Source organism: Homo sapiens, chromosome 14, assembly GCF_000001405.40.
Source record: "Homo sapiens chromosome 14, GRCh38.p14 Primary Assembly".
NCBI lineage: Eukaryota > Metazoa > Chordata > Mammalia > Primates > Hominidae > Homo > Homo sapiens.
The window spans coordinates 100,116,027-100,130,201 of record NC_000014.9 but is presented as its reverse complement, the minus strand read 5'-3'; the positions used below and the strand labels follow the sequence as shown (position 1 = coordinate 100,130,201).

The following is a 14,175-nucleotide window of genomic DNA, read 5'->3' as shown; positions in this document are numbered from 1 at the left end:
GGATGTAGATGGAACTACTCTCTCTCCGTCGCTCAGGGCAATGCCCTCTGGGCTCCTACCCTTCATAACTCCTTCTCCTGAGTCCTCCATAAAGAACCCTGGAGAATGGGGTGCCTTCACCACACATTCACCAGAGTGTCCTCTGCAAACTCGACCACTGCGGCCACATCTTATTTCTGTTAGGATCTTAAGAGCAAGGACTGTTCTTTTTCCCGCATTTATCTCTGAAATTGTCTCCACATTTATCTCTGCTCAGGACAGGGCTGGTACATGGTAGATGCTTCAGGAAATATTTGCTGAGCTAAAATGAAGGATCTGGAGTTTAGAGGACTCCTGTGGGCTTGCGCTTCAGACTAACCCCTTGGGAAGGGAAAACTTAAGTAACAGTTTCCCCTGCTTGGCTAAACCCAGGGAACAAAGATTCTGGGGTCAAGAGAGGATTCTCTGTGCAGCGCTGGGGGCGGGGGCAGGAGCTTCCTGCTAGGCACACCAAGTCTCGGGAGGTGTAGAGACCCACCTCTTGGCCAGCAGTTTGTTCATTTCCTCCATGAGGCCTCCTCCGCCACCCCCGCTGCTTGCCCGGTTGGCATCGGACTTTGAGGTCCCACTGGGACTGGAGCCTCCAGATGCGTCTTCTGGCTGAGGAAAAAGGAGGCCGCGTTTTAGATTCTGCTGCTGATGGCAGAACAGGAGCAGCAACGATGTGAGGGGATGCAGGGGACTGTGTGCGTGTGAATCCTATGGCAGCAGCACTGCAAGGGGCCTCAGGGGCCATCTGGTCCATTATTCTCCAACCCCACAGGGGAGAAAACCAGAATCGAGAGAGGGACAAGGACCAGCCCAGGTCACACAAGTCGCAGACACTCCCCAGGCCTGCAGACTCATGGTTAGTGTCTTTGCCAAGACCAGCCATGACACATGGAGGGAGGGAGGGAGGGGAGAAGAGACTATCCTGTGGGAAGGAAACACAATGTAAGCCAAAGGTCTGTATTAGAGCTATTCTTACAAGCACAGTTCTAGAACATATGAGCAAGGGTTAGGGAAGAAACAGCCGGGTGGACCTAGTTGCCAGCATACAGCTTCCTACAGTGGAAAGGGCAATGGACATAGATTCAGGAGACCCAGGCTTGAGTCCAAAATCTGCAATTTGTAAACGGTGTGACTTGAGCAAATTACTCGTGCTCTTTGTGCTTCAATTTCCTCATCTCTAAAGGGGGACATAGTTCTTGCCCCACGTGTGAAGGTCAACGTGAGGCTCAAAGGCTAACTTCATAATTTCAAAGTGCTGTCCCATGTGATTTCTCGTTTGAGAACAAGTGGCCAAGGGCCAGCTAGCTTTGGGCAGGGAAGCAGTTTGCTGTGTCTCGCAGATGCGGGAAGGAACACAAGCGCTCTGCAGATGGCACAAGGGTCCCCTCGGTCCCATTCCCACCCCGCACACAGGAGCTCTTACCCGTTGGACTCTTCTCAGCTTGGCCCCAGCTATGGCAGCGGCCAGTCCTGACATGGAGCTCTCGTCGTGGCTGGACCCCTGGGCTCCTCCGGCTGGCAGTGGGGGTGGGGGAGGTGGGGTAGCCCCAGTGGGTGGAGGTGGGACTGGGGGTGGGGGGGGCGGTGGAGGCCCACTACATGAGACGGGGGCGCTGGCTGCAGATGAAGGATGTCCTGGTGGGAGGATGGGCCCTGAAACACAACAGTGAGGCTCAGCCAGCTCCAGCACCCAGCTGGGGGCCAAGCCTGCTGCTCTCAGCTCAGGTTCCCCGGAGGAAGGACAGGGGCAGGCTGCTCCCCAAAGGGATGAGAAACAGCTCCAGGCCTGCTTCATCCAGGAAGCCTCCGCGGGATGAACTTGGCTCTGGCACAATTATTCCCTATTCTGGTGTCCTCAGTACTCCGGGGCCTGGCTGGACCCACAGGTGTCCTCTATTTGCTTAACATTCCTTGAGCCCAGGCAATTTCCTCTTGCTCCAATCATGTTTTTCCAGGGGGAGAGGAAGCTGTCTGGTTACAGTCTGTGCCTCTTCTCTTCTCTGCTCCTTCTAAGCACCTAGCACCCCCTAGGCAGAAGTTGGTCACCAAGATCCAACTGTGACTGACACTTGGGTCGTTGGGGGCCGTGGCAGGTCCTGTGGGTCCCAGGGCCGACTGGGGGCATGGGTCAGGGCGCAATGCCGAGTGCTGGGCTCCAGCATCATCCATCCAGCCCCTTCCGCCAGTGCTGCCTAAGCCTGTTTTGTGCCAGGCACTGTGCTAGGTGCTGGGTATGGTGCTGAGGAAAACCAGCCACAAGCTCTCTGCTCAGGGTGCTCACAGCCTATGAGGAACAGTCAACGAATCGCAGAGGTAAACGCAGATGGAGGACTGTGGCAAGCTGACAAGTGTTACCAAGGGCAGGCACACGGCGCCATGTTGGCATACAAAGAGGGGCTCCAGCCTGGCCAGAAGTTCATGGAAGACGGACGTCCTCCATGACGTCCTCACGGAAGTGACTGTGGAGCTGGGACACGACCGGAGAGCAGGGGTTCAGTTAGGTGAAGGGGGGAGGCAAGTGTGAGGAAGGAGGAAAAGGATGGGAAGTGCTTGCGAGGCACTAGAGGGAGAGAGGGCAGGCACAGGCTGTTCCAAGAGTGATGGGGAAGGGACGACATGATGACAGTGTCAGACCTGCATCAGAAATGCAGACTGGCCGGGGAGCAGGAGGCCAGCAGCAGCTAGGTGGGGGTGATGGGGTCAGCCAGCATCTCACGAGCAGAGCGTTCCTGTAACCAGTGGGGGCTCGGGTTTCTCATCAGTCAACAGGATAATAGTCACCTGCTCACTTCATAGGGTGTTTGAGAAAATTAAACAAGACAAAGGACATGAAAGCACTTGGTAAATTATCCAGTCCTTTGCCTATCAGTGAACATGACAATTTCTGGAAAACCCTCGTCCTTCTCCTTTAACGTGCTAAGCTCCACCGAACGTCCAAGACAGACGCGTGGCAGCGCCTCCTGTGGGAAGTCTTCCTGACCCAAGGTAGGCCTTCAGCACCTGCACGTCACTTGCCACAGTGTTCACTACGTGACATGACAAGGGTGGGTTCACTGTCTCCTTGAGTGGACAGCGGGCTTCCTGAGGGCAGGAACTGCATCTGCAGTCATAGTTGTGTCCCCAGCCCTTAGCACGGTGCCTGAGACACAGGAGGTGCTTGCTGAATGTCCACTCCGGAGAAGGTTGGCAGGTAGTGGCCAGACCCAGCTGAGCAGACTCCCCAAGCCTCTGCTCTGCTCTCTTGCTACCCTCACCATCTGAAGTGGTGGTTGCACTTTGAGACCTAGGCTCCCCATAGCTGCTCACAGAGCGCCCCGTGTGTCCCTGGGCCTCATCTACGTGGAGGGGCTGCCACCTGGCAGCAGCATGGGAGTCGGCCCTAGGGGAGGAGGGCTCTCACCTGTGGCCGAGGTTCTTCTTTCTAGAGATTCCTGACGCTGCTGCTGGTGCTGCTCCATCACTTGTCTGGAAAGTAATCACAGCAGGGCAGTCTGACTCCTCCACTCTGGAGACCACCACACTCTGTGCCTGTGCTGTACCCGCCGGCCCCGGCTTCAGAGTCAGGTTTCGCCAGCGCTCCACAAGCGCCACTGTGTGCCACGGCTGCCTCCACTTAACAGAGGAGGGGGATGTGACTGGGTCCAGCTCCCGCAAGTGGGAGCACCGGCTGTCTCCTGAGTCTCAGGCACACTGAACACAGAGCTCCTTATGGAAGGCCAGTGTGATTCCACTCCCCAGAGTGACCAAGCTCTTCCCTGGGCTAGATGGGCGCACCTGGCTTTTGGGAGCCTGTGGCCTCAACAGACCCAGCCTCAGGAACGCCTGTTCTTAGTGGACCTGGCCAAGCTTCCTGGGACAGTTCTCAGGTGTGTTTTGGTTGCCAGCAGAAATGGACACAAAGGCCACACTCCTCATTTTCTTTACCACTGAGCGGTCATAGGCCCGCCTTCGTCTAGAGGGCCATTTGGTGCACCGTGGCACACTGCTACGTGCACAGCAGTGGGAACTCACATCCCAGTGCCTTATGGCAGGGTGGCCTCAGGGTGCTCTTAAAGGCAAGCTGAGTGAGGACACTGAGGCCCAGATACATCTCCAGAATCCAGGGATCGAGTTCTGGAGTGGGAGGCACTTTAAGAAATCATCCAGGCCACAGACAGCATCAAGAGCTCAGCTCGTGTGGTGCAAACTGAACATGTGCTGTGGAAACACAGGGCTAAGGATTGTTCTGAAGGCAGCTCTGGGCTTGGTGGGAGTGCCAGAAACATCTATTTCATGGGGTTCTTGTAGGGTGTATGCCTTAACTAAAACATTATGGAATGGCTGGGCGTGGTGGCTCACGCCTGTAATCACAGCACTTTGGGAGGGTGAGGCGGGCGGATGACGAGGCCAGGAGTTTGAGACCAGCCTGACCAACATGGTGAAACCCCATCTCTACTAAAAATACAAAAATGAGCTGGGTGTGGTGGCGCGCGCCTGTAATCCCAGCTACTCAAGGGGCTGAGGCAGAAGAATCTCTTGAACCCAGGAAGTGGAGGTTGCAGTTAGCCAAGATTGCGTCACTACACTCCAGCCCGGGTGACAGAGCAAGACTCCATCTCAAAAAAAAAAAAAAATTACGGAAAAGCCCCTTTTAGCATTAAGGTCTGAAAAGCTCCCAGCAGCATCTACATTAGTGTCTCTGCTCAAACTGCTGAAACCTCCCCAGCAGGAGCCACACACCTAGAACACCATGGTAAAATGAGGATGTGTGAAAAATACTCAAGTCAGGTCTGAACCTATGGTACTGTTTGGATGCTTGGAGTCTCTGCGTCACTGAGTAAGTCTTGCCCCTGCCCACCTCCAGTAAAGTTGCGTGGGACAAGCGAGAGTCTCCCTGCCGTGTGTGTGTGTGTGTGTGTGTGTGTGTGTGTGTGTGTGTATTCCTGCCTTGGGGCAGGTGTGTGTGTGTCTGTGTGTGTGATCCCGTCTTGGGGCAGGTGTGTGTGTGTGTGTGTGTGTGTGTATTCCTGCCTTGGGGCAGGTGTGTGTGTGTGTGTGTGTGTGTGTGTGGTCCCGCCTTGGGGCAGGTGTGTGTGTCTGTGTCTGTGTGTGGTCCCACCGTGGAGCAGGTGTGTGTGTGTGTGTCTATCCACATGTGGTCTCATCTTGGGGCAGGTGTGTGTGTGTGCGCATGTGTGTGGTCTCGTCTTGCAGCAGGTGTGTGTGTCCGTCCGTACGTGGTCTCGTCTGGGGGCAGCTATGTGTGTGGTCCTGCCTTGGGACAAGTGTATGTGCTTGTGTGTGTGTCCCCTGCTGTTCACACCCCGACCGCCAGGCGGTATGCCCATTCCCGGACGGCCAGTGACCCCACACAGCTTGGATTGGGCCCTGGGGTACAGAATTCAGCACTGCGGGTGATGAAGCAGTTTCGAGAGAAATGAAGTACCCATTTAGCCATCCACGCCTGTACGCTTACACCTGGCGTCTGGTGGCTCACTCCTTCACGCCCTTTTGTGGGTGGGACCAGCCTTGGGTCCCGGCAGGGAGCTGCAGCTGGAGTGAGACTTGACTGCCAGTCTAGGTTCTGCCTGACTCTCTGGTTACTCTGGGCAAGTCACTTCCATTCTCGGCTTCAGCTGGCTCATGGGGACAACAGTAAGAAAAGCCCTGAGGGTGAGTGGGTGAGACAGGTGGGGAGCAAAGCCAACACCATCTTCAAACCGGGAAACGGAGGCTTGGAGCAGGAACTTGCCCAAGGTTGCAAGGCATTCATTTCTCAGTCTTAGGAAAAGGCCAGAGGAGAGGAGGTCTTGGGAGAAGTCCGTATGCCATTTGGTGAGAGGGGTAGGTGGGGGCAGAAGCCGGCTTTCCTGACTCCTAGTCCAGGGCTGGACATAAGTGTAGCCACAGAGAGCTGCAGCTTGACTCCCTATCTGACAAAGCTGAGTGAGGAAGGCCCGGGCCAGGCCCTACCTCCCTCGACACAGAAGAGGCAGAGGACCCATCGCTGAGAGGGCAGACCTGGGTTCAAGTCCTGACTCTGCCATTTCAGAGCAATGTGACCTTGGGAGGCTGCTCCATGGGGACTCACCACGACTCTGTAATTTCGGGACAACAGCCTTGGCCCTTCCTCTTCCCCACTGTGGTAACACTTTAGAAGCTCCATGGGGTGAGGGGGTTCATTCCTATGGTCCCTAGCCCCATCCCATGGGCGTGACTGCCCCAACAGGCTGAATCCCTCATGCCTGGACTGCCTCCTGCTACGTTGGGGAAGGGCAAGTGAGGCAACAAGGGAGCAGCACTTGGGCCCTGCTGGGTCACCCTGAGAGCCGTCCCGCTGGAGGTCAGCAGCACTCTCTGTAGAATGCCAGACTCCCACAGTCATTCCTGGTCTTGGTGTCCGGGACCAGCGGCTGCGCATCGGCCCCCTCTTTCTTCCTGGTCTGGCTTGCACCTTGCACCCTCCCGCAGTGTATGCCTCTAGGAGTCCTGGCCTTGGCTGCTGGTGCATCCTCACCCGCTGAAGGCACCCCTGGCCACCCAGCCTGATTGGGAGATGACCAGCCTGGCCCCTGCGGGTGCTGGGTTACCTTCTCTGGATGTCCATCTCATCAGGAGAGGGGCCATTCTGCACCTGACGCTGGCTGGAGGGGCCTGTGGGCAGAGAAGCACAGAAACAGTGTGGTTAGAGGAAGAAAGGCCCCAGCAAACCCAACTGGAGTGCTCTCTATCTCTGCCCACCTTCTGGCTGCAGAAGAGACATCCTTAAGAATCTTTTTAAATGTTGGCCTCACTCACACCTGTGCATCACTCACTCCATCTCCTCTCTCAATCACCCTCTCTCTCTCACGGCTCTTCATTCTGAACCAATAAATGAGACCCAAACTTTCACATGGTTAAAAATTAACCCTTTCAGTTACTGACCCTGCTCGCCTTCTCTCTCAAACTATCTTCTCACTGCTTCGACCTTCTTGCTGGCCACCACCCCCTCAACCCTTTAACATTGAATCTGGCCTCTTTACATCCCACCAGGATGTTCTAATTAAAATCAGCGGGGAACTGGGAATTGCCAAACCTAACAAGTCCACTTGATTCCACTTTCTGAGCAAAGGACTGACACTGACAGCTGGCGGATGTCTTGGTCAGAGTTAAAACCTGGGTGTGTCTGAGCTGAGGCCTATGCTTCTAGACCTGGGGTGACCCCTGCTGTCTACAAAGGGTGTCTGGAGCTGCGGGTGGGAAGGAGCCAGACCCTGCCCTTGCTCCCCTTGTTCTAGACTGGTGTGGAACTTTCTGGCCACACCCTGCCCTGGACCCTGAAGGAGGGACCCCGGCATAGGCGAAGTCTGCTGTGCAGACCTCCTGTTCAGAGGAGGCTGGAGCTGGGGCCTGTGCAGGGCTTCCCATGCTGTGCCACAGTTAAGCTTCTGCCGCCACCTAAGAAAGAGCTGACTGTTCCTTCTCTGCCAGCTCAGGTGTCACTAGGGAACTGCAGAGAGTCGCAGTGACTGGGAGAGGGACTCTGGGCAGGCTGCTCTCATACCTCCCTGACAAGATGGGGAAGTGGCTTTGTTTCTGCCGCAGGATGGGGTCACAGCAATATTCAAGTTACAACTGCACTGATGATGTGGGGACAGCCCTGTTCCCTCCTACTTCATAGAGGACCAAGGTCTTAGTGGTTCTTCCCTCCTTGTTCTCAAGAAACAGAAGGAATGAATATGTGAACATTATTACCAGAGCAACGTCCAGGCACTTTTTAAAATTTAATGTTAAATTTAACTCTAATTCTCACAGCCCTATAAGAAGGCTCCCATAAGGACTTGTAACAGCTGGGAAGCCAGGCCCAGAAAGGCTAAATGGCTTGCCCAAGGTCTTACATACAGCAAGTGGCAGATGCAAACCAACTGCAAATGCCACGTTCTTTCTTAAACTCAATCAGACAGTGGTGTCAGATTGAGACCAGCTTGAAGAAAGAAGGATGAATGTGGCAGACTCATAAGCTGCCCTTGGATGGTGTGCAAGGTGCTGTGGGCATGTGTCCCCCCGCCCCCTGACTGCCACTCATCCTGGCTGAGGCGGGAGGGATTCCTGGCGTTTCAGCTCCACGTCCGGGACTTGCACCTGAGCTGCTCTGCTGTGAGCTTGGCACAGGCTTTGGGCTCTGGCTTGGACAACTGGACATCTGCCTTGTTCTAAGACCGGGTCTCAACGGCTGAGTTCACTCCTGGATCTGGATTTTGTCCTTCTGGGAGCTGAGTCCCTGTCCCAGCGACCCTGTCTAGCATTTGGTCTGAGGGTTGGCCCTGCCCTAGGATGGAGGCCTTTCCACGCTTGGGCTCCACCAGCTGTCGCAAGATCCTTCTGTGTCTGTGGTCTGGCCTTGCCCAGGTCACTGTAACTGTTTTCCACCCTTGTCAGGACCCCGATGGCAGCCAGCTGCCCACACACAGGCCTGTGTGGTTGTGTGCTTTGGATTCCCCATTTTGCCTGCTGGGCTGACGTCCTCCCAACACCCTCCCAACCTGTTTCTCCAGAGGCTGGGAAAGTCTAATAGGAGCCCTGGCCCTTCCAGAGGGCTCTGGCCCCTGCACCTAAGACCTGATTAAAAATTGGCTGGAGTTTTAGACCCGACAGAGCAGGAAAGGATAACACTTGATTGCACTGATTACGTAAGGCTTGCCATTCTTCTTAAACGAAGAAAATGTTCAATTGTTTTGAGCCACCATGGCCCTGAACATTATAAAAGTACAGTCCTTTTGTTTTAGGGGTGGGAGCTAAGGCCCAGCAAGGCGCAGGGGTCTGTCCAATGTCACCCAGGGTAACTGTGACAGACCTGAGGTTCCCATCGCCCCCTTACTCCTGGCCTCCTCCGTCCCCCGGCACAGCTTCCCCGTGGCAGTCGGGGGGAGGGACAGGGAAGGTCATTGCTGCAGACTGCTGGTGGCCCTTGGGAAGCTCCAAGCAGCAGCCCCTTGGCAGGTGCTTGTTCAGTGGGAGGAGTAGCTAAGGAAGGCTCCTGGCTGCTAGTAATCAGACTCCCTCGTGTCTAGTGGTGAGGCACTACACATGACTTCCCTGCGTGATGCAGGCAGAAGCCAAGGCGGAGGATGTGGCACCTGTCCCGTGCTGCAGATGAGCACCTTGGAGCCACCTCTCGTCGCCCGAGCTGAGCTTGGATTCCACAGGAGTCAGGGCGATGGGGATGGTGGGAGTCCCAGCTCTTCCCTCTCTGCCTCCCACGGCTCGTTAGGTAACGGAGTCTTGTTGGTGCTGTGTCGGCTGCCCCACAAAACACCCTGCTTCTCTGCTGCCACCTGGCAGCCTTGGCGTCTCTCTCTTGGACCCTCACCTCCACTCTCTCTCATTCTGACAGTGTGGCCTAAGTGATGTCTGGGAAACACAGACATGACCTGCACAGGGTTGGGTCCAGGCTCCATTGAATAAGATTCAAGGTTTCAGCCTAGGCCCCAGGCCACCTTGTGGCTGCGCCTCCCCGACAGTCCTCCATAGCTGACCTCCTGCACCTGGACACTGGGCCCGGCCCCACCATGCTTCCTGTCTCTCTGTGTTTTGTGCGCTACTCAACCCATGTGGGTCACCTTTTCCTGCCGTCTCCACCAAGCAAGGCTTCCAGGCCCAGCTCAGTGGTCACCTCTTCCATGAAGCCCTCCCCAGGTCCTCATGCTCCTTCTCACCAACCGGTGCCCATGCGCCTCTCTTAAAAACTGACAGCTTTCTCACCCATATTCCAGTAATTTGGGAGCTGCCTTCTTTTCTGTACTAGACCCTGGGCTTCTTGCAGGCAGAGAGCACGTCTCACTCCGCACTCCACGCTCATAGCCTGGCTCGCATCAGACACTTAGTTCATATTCCACTGAACTAAGTCAGGAAGGGGAGAGGGGGCTCAAGCTCACTCACCCTTGGGGAAAAGTTCAGGTGAAGGAGTCATGCTGAACTGACTTGAGTGAAAAGAAAAACCTAGGAGGTGAGCCACGGAGATATAGGGATTAGAAGGGGTCCCCCAAGTTCATGCTTGTCCAGAGAGGATGCAGCAGTGTAACGATGCCCTGCCAGCACCAGGTACCCTCTGCTGACCAGAGGCCTTAGGGACAAACTAAAGTCACAGAGCTGCTGACCCAGCCTTTTTCTCAGGGCTGTGAGTTTCAGATGCCTTTCTGCTAGAGGACCCTGTGGCTCTGCACACAGTGGCAGAGCGCAGAGTCACCTTCTGTGGCCATGAGGTGCCCTCCTTTGTACAGTGAATGTATGGCAACGATGGTCTGCGGATCACATCTTAATTGTCTTGTTCCCATGAGGTACTAACCTGGGCAGGCAGTGGGCACGAGAGGACCTGGCCTAAGTTCTGCCTCACATCTGCCTAGTCATGCACCCCTAGGCAAGCTGCTGTGCCCTCATCTGTAAAATGGGAGTCCTAATACACTAACGCTAACAGTGGTACCTCACCAAGCTGCGGTGAGGAATAAACAAACTCTAGGAGTAAAAACCACATGGTAATCCATAAAGTGCTGGAAATATTTGTTCGCATTACTGTTGAAAGCACACTGTTGATCTTTCTGCTGAGTTGGACGGGAACCTGCCTATGTGCTGGCTTAAGTGGCCCTCTGCCCCCCAAGCCTTGCTGGTGTGGTCCCCTCGGTGGAGCGCTTTCTTCTCCACAGGCTGCGTGCACTCACTGCCCAGCTGGTTCCACCACGGCCCCCTGAAGTATACGGGATGAGTGGTGGTGGTTCTCAGGGGTGAGGGGACTTGCCCAGAGCCACAGGGTTTGTGACGCTGGCCCCAGTGTCCCAAGCTTGTTGAGTCTGGGAGCTGATTTTGCCGAGGCAGGGGCCTGGCCCATTCACCTGGGACTCCAACTAAGAAAACTCTCACCCTCTTCTCATTCATCTCAGACAAATTTTGTCAAGTCAAAATAAAGAGGATGAGATAGGAAACAAGCATGAGAAGAAATTCAAAAATTAAAAAAGGAAAAATAAAAGAACCCATCATGCCACAGACAAATGAAAAAGAGAAAGGGAAATTTCAGGTCCAACATCAAACAAGAGCAGGGTGGCTGGGCATTCATGGTGTCATGTGGGTCCAGCCCTTGGTGGCAGGGCTCACCACTGGTAGCAGGACGGGCCATAGGTTCCCTGGCTGACCTCTTCTCTGAACACAAAGAGCTGCAGGAGGACAGAGGCTGAGACCCAGCCAAGGCTCAAGTCCAGGCTGGCCTGCTCCAGGGCCCGCTGGACTGTGATGATTCTTGGGAAGGAGCTGACTTCTTGCTGTCTTGGAGGCCCACTTTCCAGCTTCGAGTCTAAGTTCCATCAAACACCCACTCCTCCCAAACACAGTGGTGAGTCAGAGGAGCCCTTTTACTCTTAGGAGCCATGAGCTGGGGAGAAACACACAAGAGGGGAGGGAAGGCTGGGCCAGACTCAGCCATGAGCCCTCCTGAAAGGGAGGGGTGGTGAGGTGGGGTGAGGGGGCCAGCCACAGGGGACAGGAGCTGACAGACTCAGGGCAGAGTCTATATGACTGATGGGGAGTGGGGCCAGGAGGTCCGAGTCCCTTCTCACTGGGGAGAGTGAGCACTGCAAGAGGCGGGCTCCCGTCTGGCAGCATCTCTACCTGGGACACACTACAGGCGTTTGGCGGTCACTCCCCTTTGCTGCTATTCTGCAAGCAGGGACATGAAGAATTGCCATGTGCCCTTCACAGGCTGCTCCAAGGAGGAGATGAGCTTATACATGGTCCTTGTATTGTACCTTTTCAAAAGGCTTTTATAGCATCTCTCTCTGACATAAGGATTTGACAAAGGATTCCAAAGCAAGGTACTGCCATCTTCAAGAAAGCTGTCCTAGTGTAGTGGAAAGGGGTAGGGAGAGCACAGAAGAGGGAAAATCTGGGCACGCATTATGGGCTTCACGGAGAATGAGCCAGATGCAGGTGACACTCCTCCCCTCCCACTTCCTCATAGCCTGCTGAGACTCGGGCGGTCAGGCGTGGCCCAGGTGTAGGAGAGCACCTGCTCATGGGACTCTGAATGTGAGTCCGAGTTCACCAGGATCCATGACATATGCTTGCACATACCAGGAAGGGCAGGAGGAAGAGCGTGGCCAACAGAACAGCCTGACTTTAACTCCATGGACATAACTGTTTTGCTCACCTCTGTATTCCCAGTACTTACCATAGTTTTTGACCTATAGTCAATGCAATACATATTTGTTAAGTACGTGGATGACTGGCCCCAGGCAAACTGAGCATCTCCAGCCACTGGGCGAGCCTAGAGCGAGTGACACAGTCTTAGAGAAAATAGCAGAAGTCTAATGGCTTATAAGCTCCCAGAGCAGGAAACAGTGGCTGAGCTGAGGACTGGGCCTCACGAGCTATCAGTGAGTGACACACCATAGGCCACCAGTGGCAGTGGCACTTAGAAAATACAATGAGTTGGGGTAAGGAGAGAACTCAAGTTTATTGAGTGTGTATTACACTACGTACTAGATCCTGTGCCAGAGACTCAGACACCACCTCGTTTAGCCTCCCTCGTCCTAGGAATCCTGCTGTGAGCTCCACTCTACCCGTAAGAAAGCTGGAGAGTTGGAAAACTGAAGTAGCATCTTTGTGGCCTCTGAACAGTCAACAGTTAAGCCAGGCTTCAACCCCAAAAGAGAGGACTCTAAAGCCCTCCACAGAGTCACCAAGACTGCAGGGGGATAGGACACATGGAGGAAGAAGGGTCAAGCGGGGCACAGAGACAGGGAGAGCAAGAAGGGGAGCCCAGCCCTGGTGCGAGTGTGAGAAGCTGCGGCTCGGAGCCCCCTGGCGGAGCCCCTTCTTGGGCAGGAGTGTGGCACATTGCCAGCACCCAATGGCCTTGCTGCCTCAATGCCCATCCACGTGGCACCGGGAGAGGTATCCCAGGAGCTGGACAGGTTCTCAGGGCTGTACAGAGAGCCTTAGGAGCCACCCGGTCTGACCTCAAGTGCGAGGCCCTAGCTGGGGTGGGTGGTTCTCACTGGCAAAGTCTTCTTCCCAAAGGGTGAAATCTGTCTTGCCAGGACTGCCCCCAGTGGTCTGTCAGGACCACAAAGACCGTCTCTCTGTGCTGGCCTGGCAGCCCTGGTGCACTCCCCTCCAGGCCTCCCTTGGTCCCCGTCCTGTCTTCCAGTCCCTTTCCGCCTTGGCTGTGCTCTCCTGGACGGTTCTGGATTGTACGAATCCCCTTCAGAGTGAACTGTGCTGGAGCTCTGCCAGTAAGTTAGGTGTGTGGGAGTCTCTCTCCTCTCTGGACTTCCATTTTCTATAAAGTGAGAAGCGTGGAACCAAGGATCATCAGCTCCAAATTTCTACAACTCTAAAGGACAAAGGAGGAAATATACTAAAATGTTCACAGTGGCTATCTCGGGATTGTGGGCTTATATTCCTCTCTCTGAATTTCCAAATCATGCACTACCTCTAAACAAATAAATGTCTAAGAGACCCTACGGAGGAGAATCCCTGCTCTGCGATCCATCCTCCGCGAGGTATGGTGGGCGCGGGGTAGGCAGGGAGCGGTGTGGCTCCTGTCTGAGGTAATGCATTAATTTATACAGCCAAAGGCAGGCAGACAAGGCGAGGAACTACTGACCCCTCCTCCTGAAGAAGGCCTTCCTCTTGGCCACCCCTGAACATTTATGAGGCTCTGGGAGACCAGCCCCCAGCTCCTCTGGGATGGAAGGGATGGGCTCAGTTTCCAGTTAGTCTCTATGGGAAGTCTCCCTGGGGCTCCTGAAAAGATAGAACCGGAGATGTCAGGGGTGCCAGAGACAAAGGATCCAGCACTTGCTCAGTGATGCTTGATGGAATTTCTGGCCAACAAACGACAGCCACCTGGTCTGAGCTGGGCAGAGTCCCAAGTTCTTCTAAGGCCTCCTCCCTGCTCTGCCATCTTTCTGGCTGGCTCCTTTCCCTCTTTCCAGAGGGTCCCCTCATTTTACAGTGAGACTGGGCCATCCCCGGCACACCTTTCCCTCTTGTTACAAGGCCCTGCTTTCCTCACAGGTGCCATTCCTATCACCAAGCGAGCAAGTGTCTAAGCGAGAATGGAGTCTGTGAACTGGGCTAAGCTTGGTCTGGCCACTATCTTTACCGTCACCTGGCCAAGGCCATACAAGAATTGGT

General features: G+C 54.9%; 1 protein-coding gene across 11 annotated transcripts in view; it reads right to left on the bottom strand.

Moving 5' to 3' along the window:
• Positions 1 to 14,175, bottom strand: part of EVL (Enah/Vasp-like) — a 172,815-nt gene that overhangs the window by 14,035 nt on the left and 144,605 nt on the right. For all 11 annotated transcript variants that reach the window (XR_007064013.1, XR_007064014.1, NM_001330221.2 and 8 more), the window contains 4 exons: positions 6,600 to 6,663; positions 3,431 to 3,495; positions 1,454 to 1,683; positions 518 to 639 (listed from right to left, as the gene is read on the bottom strand). Coding sequence is in view for 9 of the 11 variants with exons in the window: in NM_001330221.2 (NP_001317150.1) it covers positions 518 to 639; positions 1,454 to 1,683; positions 3,431 to 3,495; positions 6,600 to 6,663 (481 nt within the window). In the remaining 2 variants the exon portion in view is untranslated. The remainder of the gene's footprint in view (positions 1 to 517; positions 640 to 1,453; positions 1,684 to 3,430; positions 3,496 to 6,599; positions 6,664 to 14,175) is intronic.